At 53.6% G+C, this 16659-nt stretch overlaps 1 protein-coding gene across 2 annotated transcripts in view; it reads left to right on the forward strand.

Moving 5' to 3' along the window:
- Window positions 1–16659, forward strand: part of RPTOR (regulatory associated protein of MTOR complex 1) — a 421531-nt gene that overhangs the window by 293486 nt on the left and 111386 nt on the right. For both annotated transcript variants that reach the window (NM_020761.3, NM_001163034.2), the window contains exon 11: window positions 8150–8251. In NM_020761.3, coding sequence (NP_065812.1) covers window positions 8150–8251 — 102 coding nt within the window. The remainder of the gene's footprint in view (window positions 1–8149; window positions 8252–16659) is intronic.

Here is a 16659-nt window from a genome sequence, read left to right on the forward strand (position 1 = left end):
TCTCCCCCAGGCCTCTGACTCTCAGCCCTGTGGGACAGTGACCCACGGGGGGTTTGGTGCTGAACCCTGGAGGGCGTTCTGCCCCCGGCCGCACTGCACGGGCGCTGGAGAGCTGAGCCACCCTACGGCGGAACCTGGGTTTAGTCGCCGCACCTGCAAGTGAGGGTGGCCCCGGGCCTTCGCGGCAGCTCCCTAGGACCCCCTCGTGGTTTCTTAATGAGCTTTTGCCTTACGTGAGGCGCCAAGTCTGAAAATAGATAAATAAGACGGAGGCCCTGCCCTCCAGAAACCCGTGAGGAAAGAGGAGCCTCTCACATCTGTGCAGAATGCAAGGGAGCAATCGGCAAGAGGGCGCGGCAGACACGGGGAGGCCAGGGATGGGGGAGGCGGCAGCCTGGGCAGAGGCAGGAGGGGACCAGCATCCCCGCCTCCCGTTGGGGCCACACCTGAGACACCACCGTGTCAGGCTCCAGAGCCACAGAGCCTAGCTTTGCCACCGAGGGCAAGTTTGGTCGTCTCCTCATTTAAGGGAGGGATTATGGTGGTATCCAACCCCAGGGGTGCTGGAAGGACAAAGGGAGTTAATGTAAGAAAAGTGCTTTGGACAGAGCCCAGCACAGGGCCCTTGGGAATTCATGTGCAGGCACTGCCCCAGAGCCAGCTGTCACTGATGTGAGGATGCCACCCTCCAGCCCAGGGCAGGGGCACCGATGGTCAGGAAGGTTCCGTCCACTGCACAGACTTTTAACTTTCAGTGCACACCACAGCCGTCAGGGAAGCTTTTAACACATGCAGTCGGGAGCCTGGGTGTGCCTGCGTGCGTGCGTGTGTACGCGTGAGTGGGTGTGCATGAGGTGTGTGTGATGTGCCTGTGTGGGGTGTTTTAACTCCTCAGATGATTTTGACATGTCCCACGGGTGGGATGACTGGGAAAACGGCCTTTTAAGAGGGCTTTCTTTTTTATAATCTTCTGTTACCCTCCCATTATTGCTTGATTTTTTTGGTAACATTTGATTGTGAAAATTTTCAAACCTACAGCAAAGTTGGAAGAAATTTACAGTGAGCACCCCATGCCCACCACTTACTTCTACCCCATCTTTGTATTCATGGGGTATTTTCAAGGGCATTGCAGACCGCCCCGCATTTTACACCGTGAGGCGGAAGCCAGCTCCCCGTCATGTGCTTGGCATCAACACTGGGCTTCTAGACAAAGGCCTTCCCTCCCTTCCTGCTGGACCACAAACCTTGGGGGGCAATGACAGGGTCTCCTGCAGAGTGGCAAACCTTCACAGACGCCAGCTGTCCACCCTCAGCCTGCCAGAGCTGCTTTCAGAGTGCCTGCGCTTTTCCGAAGAGCTCTGGGCCTGTTGCCGCAAACAGATATTTGGAAACCTTCGGGAAACTGGCCTTTCTGTACTCTGAGCGTGGCTTCACTCGGTACTTTTAAGAGATCAGAATAATCTGCTCTTATATAAAATAATGCAGTTTCTATTTGCATGTGTGCTCTTTCTAAACGAATACTTAGGTTTCTGTGCCAGGTATCTTTGCCAAGTTTCTTTTCAAGGATTTTACTCTATCTATGCTAAACAACTAGAATCAATATTCTGCATTTGGGAATGATTTCACCATGTTGGGGTGTCAGGACAAGCCGGGGATAACTGACGTGGACCACACACTAGGTTCCTTTTGTTTTTAATCTTATTGGAGGTGTAACTTACATATAGAAAAGTGTACACATCATACACATACAGCTTGGTGAATGTTTCAAGCTGCACATACTCGTGTAATCACACCCAAATCAAGCAGCCCCATGAGCCCCCTCGGCGCCCCTCTTAGCTCCTCCCTTCCCCAGCAGTGGCCGCTTTCCTGCCCAGTTTTGTGCTTGGATGCGTGGAGTCACGCAGGGTGTAGTCTTTGTGCCTGCCCGCTGTCACTCAGCATTGTTTGAGTAAGCTCACTCTCTCTGCACCGCAGCTCACACTCACCGCACGGCAGCTCACTCTCACCGCACGGCAGCTCACACTCACCACACGGCAGCTCACTCTCACCACACGGCAGCTCACTCTCACTGCATGGCAGCTCACATTCACCGCATGGCAGCTCACTCTCACCACACGGCAGCTCACTCTCTTTGCACCGCAGCTCACGCTCACCGCACGGCAGCTCACTCTCACCACACGGCAGCTCACACCACGGCAGCTCACACTCACCGCACGGCAGCTCACTCTCACCGCACGGCAGCTCACACCGCACGGCAGCTCACATTCACCGCACGGCAGCTCACTCTCACCACACCACAGCTCACTCTCACCGCACGGCAGCTCACTCTCACCACACCACAGCTCACTCTCACCACACGGCAGCTCACTCTCACCACACGGCAGCTCACACCACACGGCAGCTCACTCTCACCGCACGGCAGCTCACTCTCACCACACGGCAGCTCTCACCACACCGCAGCTCACACTCACCGCACGGCAGCTCACTCTCACCACGCCGCAGCTCACACTCACCGCACGGCAGCTCACACTCACCACACGGCAGCTCACTCTCACCACACGGCAGCTCACACTCACCACACGGCAGCTCACTCTCACCACACGGCAGCTCACTCTCTCTGCACCGCAGCTCACACTCACCGCACGGCAGCTCACATTCACCACACGGCAACTCACTCTCACCACACGGCAGCTCACTCTCTCTGCACCGCAGCTCACACTCACCGCACGGCAGCTCACATTCACCACACGGCAACTCACTCTCACCACACGGCAGCTCACTCTCTCTGCACCGCAGCTCACACTCACCGCACGGCAGCTCACTCTCACCGCACGGCAGCTCACTCTCACCGCACGGCAGCTCACACTCACCGCACGGCAGCTCACTCTCACCGCACGGCAGCTCACTCTCACCGCACGGCAGCTCACTCTCACCGCACCGCAGCTCACTCTCACCGCACGGCAGCTCACTCTCACAGCACGGCAGCTCACACTCACCGCACGGCAGCTCATTCACCGCACGGCAGCTCGCTCTCTCTGCACCGCAGCTCACACTCACCGCACGGCAGCTCACACCGCACGGCAGCTCACACTCACCACACGGCAGCTCACACTCACCACACGGCAGCTCACTCTCACCACACGGCAGCTCACACCACACGGCAGCTCACTCTCACCACACGGCAGCTCACACCACACGGCAGCTCACTCTCACCACACGGCAGCTCACTCTCACCGCACGGCAGATCACTCTCACCGCACGGCAGCTCACTCTCACCGCACTGCAGCTCACTCTCACCGCAGGGCAGCTGACACTCACCACACGGCAGCTCACTCTCACCGCGCCGCAGCTCACACTCACCGCACGGCATCTCACTCTCACCGCACGGCAGCTCACTCTCACCACACCGCAGCTCACTCTCCCCGCACGGCAGCTCACTCTCCCCGCACGGCAGCTCACTCTCACCGCACGGCAGCTCACACTCACCGCACGGCAGCTCACTCTCACCGCACGGCAGCTCACACTCACCGCACGGCAGCTGACTCACCGCACCGCAGCTCACTCTTACCGCACGGCAGCTCACTCTCACCGCACGGCAGCTCACACTCACCGCACGGCAGCTCACACTCACCGCACGGCAGCTCACTCTCACCGCACCGCAGCTCACTCTCACCCCACCGCAGCTCACTCTCACCACACGGCAGCTCACTCTCACCACACGGCAGCTCACACTCACGGCGCTGCAGCTCACATTCATTGCAAGGTGGACACCATTGAGTGTCCCAACATTCATGTGTCCCTTCTAGGGCCACTGGGCATTTTCAGTTTTCAGTCCTCACTAACAGTGCTGGCTAGAGCCAGACTCTGTCACATCAGAGCCTGAGACAAAAGGGAATTCTGTGATATTGGTCCTCCCTTTGAAATGTCGATATCTTCTTCAGTATGGATTTTTGTATTAATTTTTATTTTTGTAAATATTGCACTGAAATATCATTTGTCTTGATTACTGATTTTTTTTTTTGGTACCCCACCTGCTAGCACCAATTCTGTGCCTGAGGCCAAGGCCTCCCCTTCCTGGCTGGCCTCCCGTTCAGGGGCTGCTCCCTCCTTCACATTTCTCGGAGTGATCCTTCGGGGTCCCAGGGTTTGCCCATATTCAGCTTTAACAGATGGTGCCAGAGCACTCTGCAAAGTGGCTGAGTCAGTTTACACTCCTGCCTGCAGCATTCGAGAGTTTTAGTTGCTATGTATTTATTTGGCTATGATGGTTCAGTATGAAAAGGTATTTCCTTAAGAGCTAATCGTGTATTTACCCGATGGTTAATAGAGCATTGTTCTATACTTGTACTGGCCATTTATGGTTCCGGCTTTTGGTATCCTGTTTTATGAAACCTTTATTTCCTCTGAGATGAGCATTCTGAGCAGACGCTACGCTCTTTGTCAGCTAGCAGCTTGTGTGTTTCCCTTTCACATCTGGACCTGCATCTGCTCACATTTCACGTCCCCCGTGAATGCTCGGCTTACTGGTGGTGTTTGCACTGAGGACCGTGTCCGCGTGGCTCCCTCTGTTCCCTCCTTTGCACCAAGGGCCATGTTCACATGGCTGCCTCTGTTCCCTCGTTTGTCCCTTTGCTCACTTGTTCTTTGCACCAGGACCACACAGTTGTAATGACAAACTCTACGTGACACTTTCTAAGCTGGTAGACTAAGTCCCACAACTTCGTTTTTTTCCCCGAGTTTGCCTCAGTTACTTTTGGTCCTTTGCATTTCCATGTGAATTTTACCATCAGTGTGTTAATTTCTGCAAAGAACCTGCTGGATTTTTGTTGAGATTACAGTTAATCTACAGATTGATTTGGGAGAAGTCACCACCTCTATAATATTGAGCCTTCTCCTCCCTCAACGTGGTTGTAAATGGTATTGTTTAAAATTTCACTTTCTGATTTTTCTCTACTAACAGTGACATAGAACCCTATAAAAATTGAGGTTTTCAGAGGCTGAGGCAGGAGAATTTCTTGAACCCAGGGGCAGAGGTTGCAGTGAGCCAAGATCATGCCACTGCACTCCAGCCTGGGCAACAGAGTGAGACTCTGTCTCAAAAAAAAATTTTTTTTTTTGGTTTATTGAGATAGTAGGAGAAGCCAGAATGATTCCCCTGCAGTAGAAAGCTCGGGCTAATTGACTTTCTTAGGGGTGTTAAAGAGAACCCTTCTGCAAACTGAGCAGCCGTACAGGGGGATAGAATGTCCCTACAGAGCCGTACAGGGGGGTAGAATGTCCCTACAGAGCCGTACAGAGGGGTAGAATGTCCCCTTGGCAGTGAACTTTAAGTCCCCTCTTTAAGCAGCAAGCTTGTCGTAAGTGGCAAATGTATTGTGCCATTGTCAGGACGGAGAGTAGCCATCTCAGAATGTCCAGATGGTGAGAAAGGCGGCAGGTATGCTCAGGTTGTTGGTAGCAGAAGTCCAGCCGGACGGGCTCCACTTAGGTGTGACTTGGAGGCTCCCAGCCTCTCAGCCGGCCTTCCCATTTTCAGTCTGCTGCCCCTGTTTTTAGAATATGTCAAACTGCCTAGCACACAGGCTGGCAACAGAGCAAAACTCCTGGCATCCAAATCGCCCTGGGAGAGCCAGGTATGTGGTCCTGGCCGGGCAACCCAGACGCTCAGCCCAGCAGGACCTGTGAGCTCTCTGTCTCGCTGAATGGACTTCGCTCCCCTGCACGCAGGGGCCAGCTCAGGAGCTCTTCATGGGGTGGAGAAAATCTCAGAGATTTGGCCCAAAACATCAGCCCTGTGAATCATGGGTGGAGACACGGGCCGCTCTCGAGATGTTTTCCGGAATATCATATAAAGTGTTGGCCACTCTTCCGCAGGCGCTTGCTCTAATTCGTCAGCCTCCCCGTGGCTTTAGGGAGCTTCACGGGCTTCACCGCGCACCTGCCAGGCAAAGGTGTGCTTTTCCTTTTTTGTCAGTTTGAGGTGAATAGTCAGGAATTTTTCTCTTTCTGCATGGAGTAGTGACTCCAGCAGTGAGGAACATGTGAAAATCCATCAGGCAAAGCTAATGTGATAGAAAGAAGAGGTGTAACTATCTGAATTACCTGACTTCTGTTCACAGACTCAAGCCTTCTCTAACTCAGGAGAATTACGTTCTCGCGGGATGTGGAGGAGGGGGTACTTAACGAGATTTTTTTTTAACCAATTTATGAATAATTCACACTTGAAAACAGGAAAATCACTCTGGGGGCTCCAAGCCAGCTCCACAGGTTGCCCTCCAAGTGTGATTAACTTTCTGTAAGCTGGCTGCACAGGAGCACGGATTCCTACGTGGTGAATGTTCTCGGCTGACTTTTTAAGTCGGGCCACGGGGCTCTGCCCGCCAGGCTCCTCTGTGGAGGCTGCCGAGAGCGCTCCTGGACTTGGGCGCACGGAGGCACCCTGTCCTGCTCCTGGCGTTCGCCTGTCCACATGTGTCCACATTCACTGGAACCCGGGGCACAGCCGACCCCGGCCAGATGAGCGGAGGGAGGGTTCCTCCCGACCTCCTCTCAGAGACACGCACCTCCACTGCGGCCACCCACCTTCCCCCCGAGCAAAATCAAACAACGTAGGGAAGAGAGGATAGTGGATGGGAGAGAGAGGCTGGTAGTTGTTTTTTTTTTTTTCTTTAATTCTTTGTATCGGGGGCTCAGGGAAGGCAGAGCTGTGTGTTAAGTGGAAGTGACTCTCCGTGGAGGGAATCAGGCCGGACTGCTCCTGCCTGGCCGCTCAGTTCCGAGACCTTCCAACGGCAGCCTCCCCTGCAGCCTTCACGCTCTCCAGCCGCAGGCCCAGCAGCCCTGCTGCCCACCTGCTCCATGGCACCCAGGCGAATCCCCCTCCACTCTGTGCCTGCACTCACGTGGCTGGGCTAACTGGGAGCTCGGGCCCACCCGGTGTGGCCCACGGAGAACTCGTGTCACCCCCTCGAGGGGCCCTGATGCCGCCTGACATTCTGACCCCAAGCATTTTTTTTGGTCTCCCTCACCCGCGCGCCTTCTCTGTCCAGCTGCAACCCCTCCTCCCGCCCTCACCCCAGAGAGTACCCTCGTTTCCCATTTCACTGAGGAAACAAGAAGCAGTCGCATGACCGCCTCTGCCGGGTCCTCCAGCCCTCCCCCTGCTTCTCTGCATCTGGGCCCCCTTGCTTTGCCGCCTGCCTGGTTCCCCTGGGGAGCAGCCCTGCTCTGCCAGCCCAGCCTGTGCTTCCAGTCCCATCCCCCAGCCTGCCCGAGGATGCCCTCCAGCAGCCTTTCCCCACCCTCCGTGCCCCCAGCTGGGTCTTTCTCACCAGCGTCCTGTCCCCATTACTCCACATCTACAAAAAGCACTTCCTGACCCTACATCCCTCTCCAGCCACCACCTGTCTGTCTTGTTCCCCTTTGCAACCAAAACCAAATTCACCCTGTCTCGAAACCCCTCTGGCTGCGCTTTTGCCCAACTCCAGAGCGTTCTTGCTGCTGATCCGGGGCCCAGTCAGCTCTCCATCCTTATCTCGCCTGGCCCGGTGCTGGTTTGTGGCTCTGCCCTGGACGTTGCTCCCTGGCGTCCAGACCTTTGAGCTCTGCTTTCCCTCCACTGCCGGGCCCTCACCGGCCCCAGCGCGGCCCCAGCTCATCTCCTTGGTCTCCATAGCAGAGGCTCTGTCCTGGGCCCCTTTCCTTTCTCACTTAACTTGAAAAAGATTCACACACCATGACTCCCAAGCGTGTCCCCAGCCAGACTTGCCTGCTGATCCACACACTCACGGGGTCCCCTGCCCCCGGCATCTTCACTCCCTTGTCCAGCCACTGTCGTGAGCACCACATGTCCACAGCTGGTTCCCAGCACGCTCCTCTTGCGGCCCCAGCTCGGTGCCCTGGCCAAAAGCCTTGGAGTCATCCTCAGCTGCTCTCTTCTCCTGCCTGCCTCTGGTCCCTTCGTGCACCCCGCAGGCTCTCCCTCTTTGGCATGCCCAGAGCGCCCGCTTCTCAGCCGCCTGGCATCCTCGCGGCCCTGCAGGGCGGGCCCTTCGTGAAGGCTTGGATGCCCGGCAGGTGGCAGGGGTGGGCAAGACCAGGCCATCTGGGAACATGGCCCTAACAAGCACCTGTTCTGCTTGCCCCGCAGCACAGCCCGTTCTTCGCCGAGCAGCTGACCGCATTCCAGGTGTGGCTCACCATGGGCGTGGAGAACCGAAACCCACCCGAACAGCTGCCCATCGTCCTGCAGGTGAGTTTCTTCAGACCGGGCCAGACAGCCGAGGTTCCTCAGGAAGGAAGCCAGATGCCTGTACAGCCCCGGGAGTGCCTTCTCTCTCCCTGAGCCCTGTGGGTCTGTGACATCCCAGCCCCTCTGCCCCGAAGATGATGGTGCATGGGCAGGTCGCATTCGGGCAAACGGATCACACAGATCCAATCAGGAGTCACTGGGCTGATCGCACATTCATTCCTAAAGGGTTTCCTCTAAAGCCATTGATTTCCCTCCTCCACCCTCAGATAAGTGTAACTTTGGGACTGGGGAGTCATCAGCCAGTCCATCATCCCCCTCTCCCCTGGCTACCATTTCCACTTTAGGAATTGCTGAGATTCAGCTACAGATGGGCTTTGCTTCAGAGCAGGCTCTCGACACCACTGCCTCCTTCTCTTGGGAAGGACAGGAGATGGCAGTGAATCCGGGAGAGGAGGGAGGAGGCTCCCTGAGCGGATACTGACCGGCGAAGCGGGCAGAGCGGCTTTGTGGCCCAGCGCCGTAGGTTATGCACTGAAGCACACACAGATCCGGAAGCCGGCAGCCCTTCCCTTGCACGGGGCTGTCACAGCTGCTGTAACAAATAGGCCCTTTTGGGGCACGTCCTTCAGATGCCAGTGCCCACGGGGCCCGTGTCATGTCAGTGCTGTTCACGTGCAGACCATGACCTGTTCATGGGTTGGGAGGTCAGCATCGTGGGTCCTGCTGGCTGGTTTTTGGTCACTGAGATAGGATGGGAGGCCATGGAAATTGAGGAGTTCGTCACAGGTAGTGAAGTTAGAAAGATTCCACAGAACTTTTGTTTCGGTGAATGTGTGTTTGTGGGGAAGTGTGTGGGCTGAGTCAGAGTCAAAGGAGTTTAAAATCCACTGGTCAGTGTAGATATCAAGGTCTAAGAACTCACTTTAAAAGCTGGAAAAGTGTTTTTGTGATTGGGGTGGTGCAGTTGGACTTTGGCGAGGAGCTGTGCATGGCCGTGGGGAGGGGCTGCCCAGCAGCAGGCAGGGAATGAGCAGGCCCCGCCCTTTTTGGTTTAAAGCTGGGTGACTCCCCCCACACACAGGAAGAGCCCCACCTCCGGGTGTGGTGCTGAGTTCTGAGAGTCGGCAGAGTTGGGTCCTCGCCTTCCTAGAAAGCAGATCGGGTGGTGGTACCTCCATGGAGAGGGGCGTGAGTGGCGCCGCCCACCTGCCCTTCTTCCTTCCAGAGCTCGTGCTTTCTGGTTAGGGCCGCTCACCACACTGACAGACAGCACACCAATCTTCACTAGACCAGGTGTTCATCCCACCTCTGAGAGATCATTTAGAAAACCGGGGCCAGTTTATCTCTGTCACGGCCATGGCCTCAGCAGCCTTCCCTTCCGCCGTTCAGTCTGTGCTGCAGCAGTGGCAGCCAGCGTCGCAGGCGTGCTGTAGGACTGAGGCTTCACCTCGTTCAGGACTTTGCCCCAAGAATCTCAGCCAGAGAAAGAGGAGTTGGGAGAAGGAACAGTGCACATGGACGTGCTCAAGACAGTACCGCCGGCCTGTCCTCGCCGGCATTGTCTCAGGCGGGCAACAAAGAACCAGTGTGCCAGCCGGCTGCCCTGGTGTTATGATCCCAGCTCCTCAGTAGGCCAAGGCGGGGAAGGATCACTTGAGCCCAGGAGTTCAAGGCCAGCCTGAGCCACATAGGGAGACTCCATCTCTACAAAATAAAATAACATTGTACCACATTTCACAGTATATATTTCTGCTGCTGTCAGTATATTATGACAGTTGCTTTTTGGACATTGCAAAAAGAATGCAGACGTTATTACTGTTCTTCCTGTATGTACCTAGATTCGTTTAAGACTATCCTGAGATTACAGGGTGAGGTGTAAACAAATAAACCAGCTCATGTTCAAAACCAAGAACACGCAGTGATAGCAGCAACGCAACCAAACAACATTTGACAGAAGCCCACGTTTTCCCTTCGTGCGACTGTAGAAAGGCAGCTGGCTGTGTGGCCACGGGTGACCGGGGGTGGCCACAGCGCAGGTTGCCCATGCTGGGCCCCACGGCTCCTGTTGGTCATCTGGGTTACCAGGATGTCCCTCAGGAGACACTGGCTCTCTTACTGGCCTTCCTACTATTTGAGCAATGTGATGGAGTAAAATCGGCCCTCTCCAAAGCAGGACCCGATGCCAAGCACGTTAAATCCAGTTCTTTTGGGTCCAGCAAATAATCTTTTTGTAAATGGCCTTCTGTTGATTTCTTTCAATGTTCCCTTGGCCACCCACACTCCCTCAAGGAAGGAGAAGACGTGCTGGAGGCAGCTTTCTGATGGTGACGTATGCGAAGACAGCTCTGGTCGGAGCGTGGGGCATTTCCCACATGATTTTCCAGCAGGTGTGAGTGGCAGGTTCCTCCTCCCTCTGGAGGGTCTGTTTCCTGGCTGTGCCCAGCCGGGATCAATGGGCGGACCTCCACCTAACACAAAAGTAGGGAAAGATGAAGTGTAATGGGGTATCGGCTTCATTTGACGTACCCCCCGGGAGTGGCTTCTTTCTCGTTAACTCGGCTCACTTCCCCGCGCTTTCTCTTAAAAGCCTTTATTTTTGCCAAAGCCTGGGCCCTGTTATCCTTAAATTATTCTCTAGTGCCTTGGCAAGTCAGAAAACATCACTTAAGGGAAAGGGAGTTTTCTCACTCGCTTCCGGTTTTCCGAATCCCTGCCACTTCATCCCTAAGCCAGAGGCAGTGGCTGGTGGCCCTCCAGGGTCACGCACGGTGTCTCATCAGGTCCGGCTGATTCGCAGCCCCTCCTGTAAACGTGAGCATGGAACAGGCCCTTCCTGCTTTCCAGCCTCAATATCCTCTCTGCCTTTTAAAAATATAAATCAACAGAGGAACAAGAAGGAAGATACAATGTTTAAAAAAATTGCTGTTTTGCCCAGACCCTTGATTGATGGTGTCTATTTTTTTGAGATGGAGTCTCACTCTGTTGCCCAGGCTGGAGTGCAGTGGCGCGGTCTCAGCTCACTGCAACCTCTGCCTCCTGGGTTCAAGCAATTCTCTGCCTCAGCCTCCCAAGTAGCTGGGATTACAGGCACCCGCCACCATGCCCGGCTAATTTTTTGTATTTTTAGTAGTGACAAGGTTTCACCATCTTGGCCAGGCTGGTCTTGAACTCCTGACCTTGTGATCCACCCGCCTCGGCCTCCCAAAGTGCTGGGATTACAGGCGTGAACGACCGCACCCAGCCCTGAACACCGTCTTCTCACGAGGAGCTCTGGACTCTCGTGGCCTGTGGGGTGCGTTTGCCCTCTGGCTTCGGCAGCTCGCCCGGAACTCAGTGCTGTGTGCCCCCAACAGGTGGCTCAGGAAGCCCAGGCAGGGGAACGAAGAGCGCCTAGGTTATGGAAGAGAGGGGAGAAAGTGACTTTTCTTCTTCTTTCTTTTTCAGGAAAAAGGTGACAGTGATATTTATGTGTTCATTTATTTACTTGGCCCTTTTTCTTTTCAATAGATCCAGGGTATACGGGTGCAGGTTTCTTGCATGCATGCACTGCGTAGTGGTGAAGTCTAGGCTTTGGGTGAACCTGCTACCCACATAGTGGGCATTATACCCCATAGGTAATTTCTCAGCCCTCAGCCCCTCGCACCTTTTGGAGTCTCCGGTGCCTGTTATTCCACCTGTGTGTCCCTGTGGACCCGTTGTTTAGCTCCCACTCACTTATACATGAGAACATGCAACAGTTGGTTTTCTGTTTCTGAGTTATTCCACTGAGCATAATGGCCTCCTGTTTCACCCATGTTGATGCAACAGACACGATTTCATTCTTTTTCTGGCTGAGTAGTATTCCATGATGCACAGACGCTGCAGTTTCCTCATCCAGTCCTCTGTTGAGGGGTGATCTCGGCTCACTGCAGCCGGAGCTCCGCCTCCTGGGTTAAAGTGATTCTTGTGCCTCAACCTCCAGAGTAGCTGGGATATCAGGTGTGCACCACCGCACCTGGCCAAGAGTGATTTTATAGGATGAAGTTTTAGTCCCTTTTCCTAGATGTCACAGATCAGTGTGAGCATTTCATTAGGAGGTCTATTTGCTCTCTCTCCGTGCATCATTTTTTTTACAAATAGAATGTGGGGTCTGAAAGTACAGGATTGTTATCAGGTGACAGCAGAATGACAAACTAGAGTGATGTTATACATACCATGTACATCGGGGACTCCAAAACCGCCCTGCTCATCAGGTGCCCGAGGCACCCTGGCCTGCAGCACCTGGCACTCCAGGGCTGGAACTGGAGAATCTTTTCTTATGAAGCAGCTCTTCCAGTATGCCTGTCTGAGCACTCTCTTCATATACAAGGCAAATGAAATTTGATAACCTTAGCAATTCTGTTTTAATTTGGTCGCCTCAGCTGGAGTGCAGTAGTATGATCATAGCTCGCTGCAACTTCCAACTCCTGGGGTCAGGCCACCCTCCTGACTCAGCCTCCTGAGTAGCTGGAACTGCATGCATGTGCCATCATGCCCGGCTCATTTTTGTATTTTTTGTAGAGACGGGGTTTCACCATGTTGGGCAGGCTGGTCTCGACCTCCTGGCCTCAAGCGATCCTCCAGCTTCAGCCTTCCAAAGTGTTTGCATTACAGTATTGAGCCTCTATGCCGGCCACCATGATTAATCTTTAGTTTGGGCTACCACAGGTGGAAAATAAATCTCAGTAACTCATTCAGCTCACCATCATTTACTTCTATAATTTCCATAGATCGTGGGATGGTCCGGAACAGGAGGTTTTTGTTTTGTTGTTTTTAAGTACAGAAACAACATTGGCTTTTTTTCTAAAAGCCAATCCCATTTTAAAAATAACTTTGCTTTATGTTGGCTTCAGTTTTTAAAAATCGTAAATCAACAAAAGGTGGCAGGAAGATGATGTAATGTTTGAGAAAAAAAAAACAGTACTTAACCTTTCCGCCAATACTCTTTATTGACGATGTTTCTTTGCAAATGAAATAATTGTAGCACCAAATCCCATGCTGCCCAAGGACCTCCGACGCCGACTCCCAGGCAGGTGGGCCCCCGAGGCCCCCGCGTGTGTTTCATCAGCACCTGCAGCTCCTACAGTGGGACACTCGGGACCACATCACGGTGGTGATTGTGAACCAGCGTCCCGCTTGCTTTTGTTGTTTGTAAGGAGCACATTCTAAGGAGACCTTTATTGCTGGGCTAGTGTCCTGGTAAAACAGTAACAGGAACTGGCCTTGATTAGACCTCTTCGCCCCGTCCTGCCACTTTTTCCATTTGTTCTGCAACTATTTACCTTAGAAACAGCCTTGTCCTTATTTACAGTGTTGGAAAAAAACAAAAAGAATCAGAAAACAATCTTTGTAAGCTTTAGATCTGATGATGTCTTTGATTTCTGACGATTGCAGCCATGGCGAGACCTGCCTCCTCTCCTCTCCCTGGGTCATCTAGAAACTTGAGCCTCAGGCAGCCTAGTGTTCCCTACACACAGAGAGTCAGTCCTTAAAACCTTGGGTGGTGGAGACATCTGGTAGCCGAACACTATGATGCTGACTTTACATCCGCTGGACACCTTGGTGCACACAGCTTTGTGCTAGACGCTTTACGGACTCTGCCTCATTGAACTTTGAGAATAAGCCCAAGTCAAGTACTGTTGTCTCCGTTTTTCTTGATAATGATATTGAAGTTTCCAGAAGTTAGGAATCTAAGCCAATTATTGGGCAGAGATGGAGGCAGGGTTAACATCAGGTTAGCCGGCCCCAGAGCCAGTGCTTTTCCTCCGACTGGCCCCTCAAACCTGAGTTCCAGGCAGCAGTGGCATGCGACAGCCCCCGAGTTAAGCATAGGAGAGGGATCCGGTTCCAGTTCACATATCCTGCGAGCAGTCCCACGTTCCTTTCCCAGCCTCTTAATCAGAGACTCTCAGCATCACCAGCACGGGGAACCTGCCACTCCTGGGTCCATGGTGAACCCAGCGTGGGAGCTGGCTCCGGGCACATAGAAGGGAAGTGAGGCCACATTCCCACTGCTCTTTCTCTGCCCCCAAGGCTGGACATGCTGGGATCCCCTCCATACCCCATCTGCCCCTCCAGCCTGGCTAGCCACCTCCTCTTGCTGCCACCTGTGACCTTCCCTGTCCCCCTCATCCTCCTGCCAGTGCTCTTCTCCCACCACAGGGAAGCTCCTCCCTCTCCACGGCTCCCCAGGGCCCATGCTCCTGACTCGGTGGCTCCTCCGTGGAAGTCGTGCTGGCCGACCCCCAGGAGCTTGACCCAGGTGGCCGCCATCTCCTCTCCCCTCCCCCGATCCTCCACCCTCACTGGCCTCCTCGTCCCTTTCCCCTGCCTCTCTTGAGGGTTTTCAAACTCATCCCAAACCTTCTTTTCTAGAGTTTGCTTTCCTTCACCCCTTCTTCTCTCAGCCTCTGGCCAGTGCTGCAGTCTCCTCCTCCCCATCTCCGTATTGGCACCCTGGTCAAACCCACCCCCTTCCACTCGCCTCCCCGACTTCCAGCCTCTTGCCAGGCCTGTCCCCAAAGCGAGCACACTGGACCAGTCACTGCTGCTTAACGTCGGCTGGTGGCTTCTGGATCTCAAAACAAACTGACCTCTCTGCATGCCGTCGGCGGGGCCTTTCCCTATCCGGCCCCTCCCCCATCACTGACCTCAGTCATACTGGTAGCCCGTGCATCCTCAGACACCCGGGCTTTTCCAGCCTCTCCACCTGCAACGCGGTAACCCCCTCATGTCACCTCCAGGACCCGCTGCCCAGCTGTGTCCTGTGCATCTTCTCCTGGGGGGAGGGAAAACCTCCGAGGCCTGCAGCGAGGCCAGGTCAGGGGCTCCCAGGGTCTGTGTGTTTAGGCATGGTGATGGGGCGGTCATTTGTTTAATGTCTGTCTCCCAGGCCACATGAAGGATGGGTGAGGTGGTCCCTACTGTCTGTGGTCACTCTCCTAGCACCCAGCGCAGCACCTGCCCCATAAACACCCCTTGGATGACTGGGGCATCGTGGATAGAAATGCTGTAGGTTGGAGGGAGTCGATGCACATGCCTTCCAGCATAGCCACCATTAAGGAAAAAATCAAAAGAAGTAATGCCATTAAAAGTGTAAAGCTTGGCCGGGCACGGTGGCTCACGCCTGTAATCCCAGCACTTTGGGAGGCCAAGGCGGGTGGATCACAAGGTCAGGAGATCAAGACCATCCTGCCTAATGCAGTGAAACCCCGTCTCTACTAAAAATACAAAAATAAATTAGCCGGTCATGGTGGCAGGCGCTTGTAGTCTTAACTACTCAGGAGGCTGAGGCAGGAGAATGGCATGAACCCGGGAGGTGGAGCTTGCAGTGAGCCGAGATTGCGCCACTGCACTCCAGCCTGGGCGACCGAGTGAGACTCTGTCTCAAAAAAAAAAAAAAGTGTAGAACTTTAATATAACAGAAAAAGTATGTGCAAAACCTCTGGCAGAGCCCACTCTAACTTATAAAGAACTCTGACATGTCAATAAGAAAAAGCCACATTTTGAAGTAGAAAACTAAACGCATGCAGGGCAAGTTTACTGGGGAAATGGCCCATCAACCTGCAAAATGTACTCCCCTTGAAATCCAAGAAATCCAGATGAAAAGGATGTATTTTCACCTGTCCTTTTGGCTAATAATAGTGTAATATGGGCTAGTATTGTCCCACAAGCTTTAAATTTATTATTTAATTTAATGAAACCCTTGTGGGCAGGTGTTGTGTTATATGTGTTTTATGAATTAATAAATCAAGGCTCAGCGACGTTAACTTGCCCAGAGTCACACCGCAGTGAGCGCTGCTGGGTGACCAGCTCAGGCAGCAGGAAGCTGGTGCCCACGTGCGTGCCGTCGAGAGTGTGAGTGGGTTCAGCCTCAGGGTCATTTGGTAACTTAAGTATATATGCTCCGACCTTACCTTTTTAATACTCACATTTATCTTAGTGGAAAAGAATCATGTACATGTGCCGATGTACCCATTAGGATATTGATCACAATCTTCTTTATCAGAGCAGCATTTTGGCCAGGCATGATGGCCCACGCCTGTAATCCCTACACTTCGGGAGGCTGAAGCGGGAGGGTTGCTTGAGCCAGAAGTTCAAGACCTGCATGGGCAATGTAGTGAGACCCCCATCTCTATAAAAAATACAAAAATTAACCAGGCATGGTGGTACATACCTGCGGTCCTAGCTACTCAGGGTTTGAGGTGGGAGGATCACTTGAGTCCAGGAGGTTGAGGCTGCAGTGAGCCATGATCTGGCATCTATACTCTAGCTTGGGCAACAGAGCAAGACCCTATCTCAAAAATAAATAAATAAAAATGGTAAAAGTAGGAACATTTTGATGATAATTTAAATATCTATCACTGGGGAAGTTGTTTAAAAGAATTGTG

This window comes from Homo sapiens, chromosome 17 (assembly GCF_000001405.40).
Source record: "Homo sapiens chromosome 17, GRCh38.p14 Primary Assembly".
In the NCBI taxonomy this organism is placed as follows: Eukaryota; Metazoa; Chordata; class Mammalia; order Primates; family Hominidae; genus Homo; species Homo sapiens.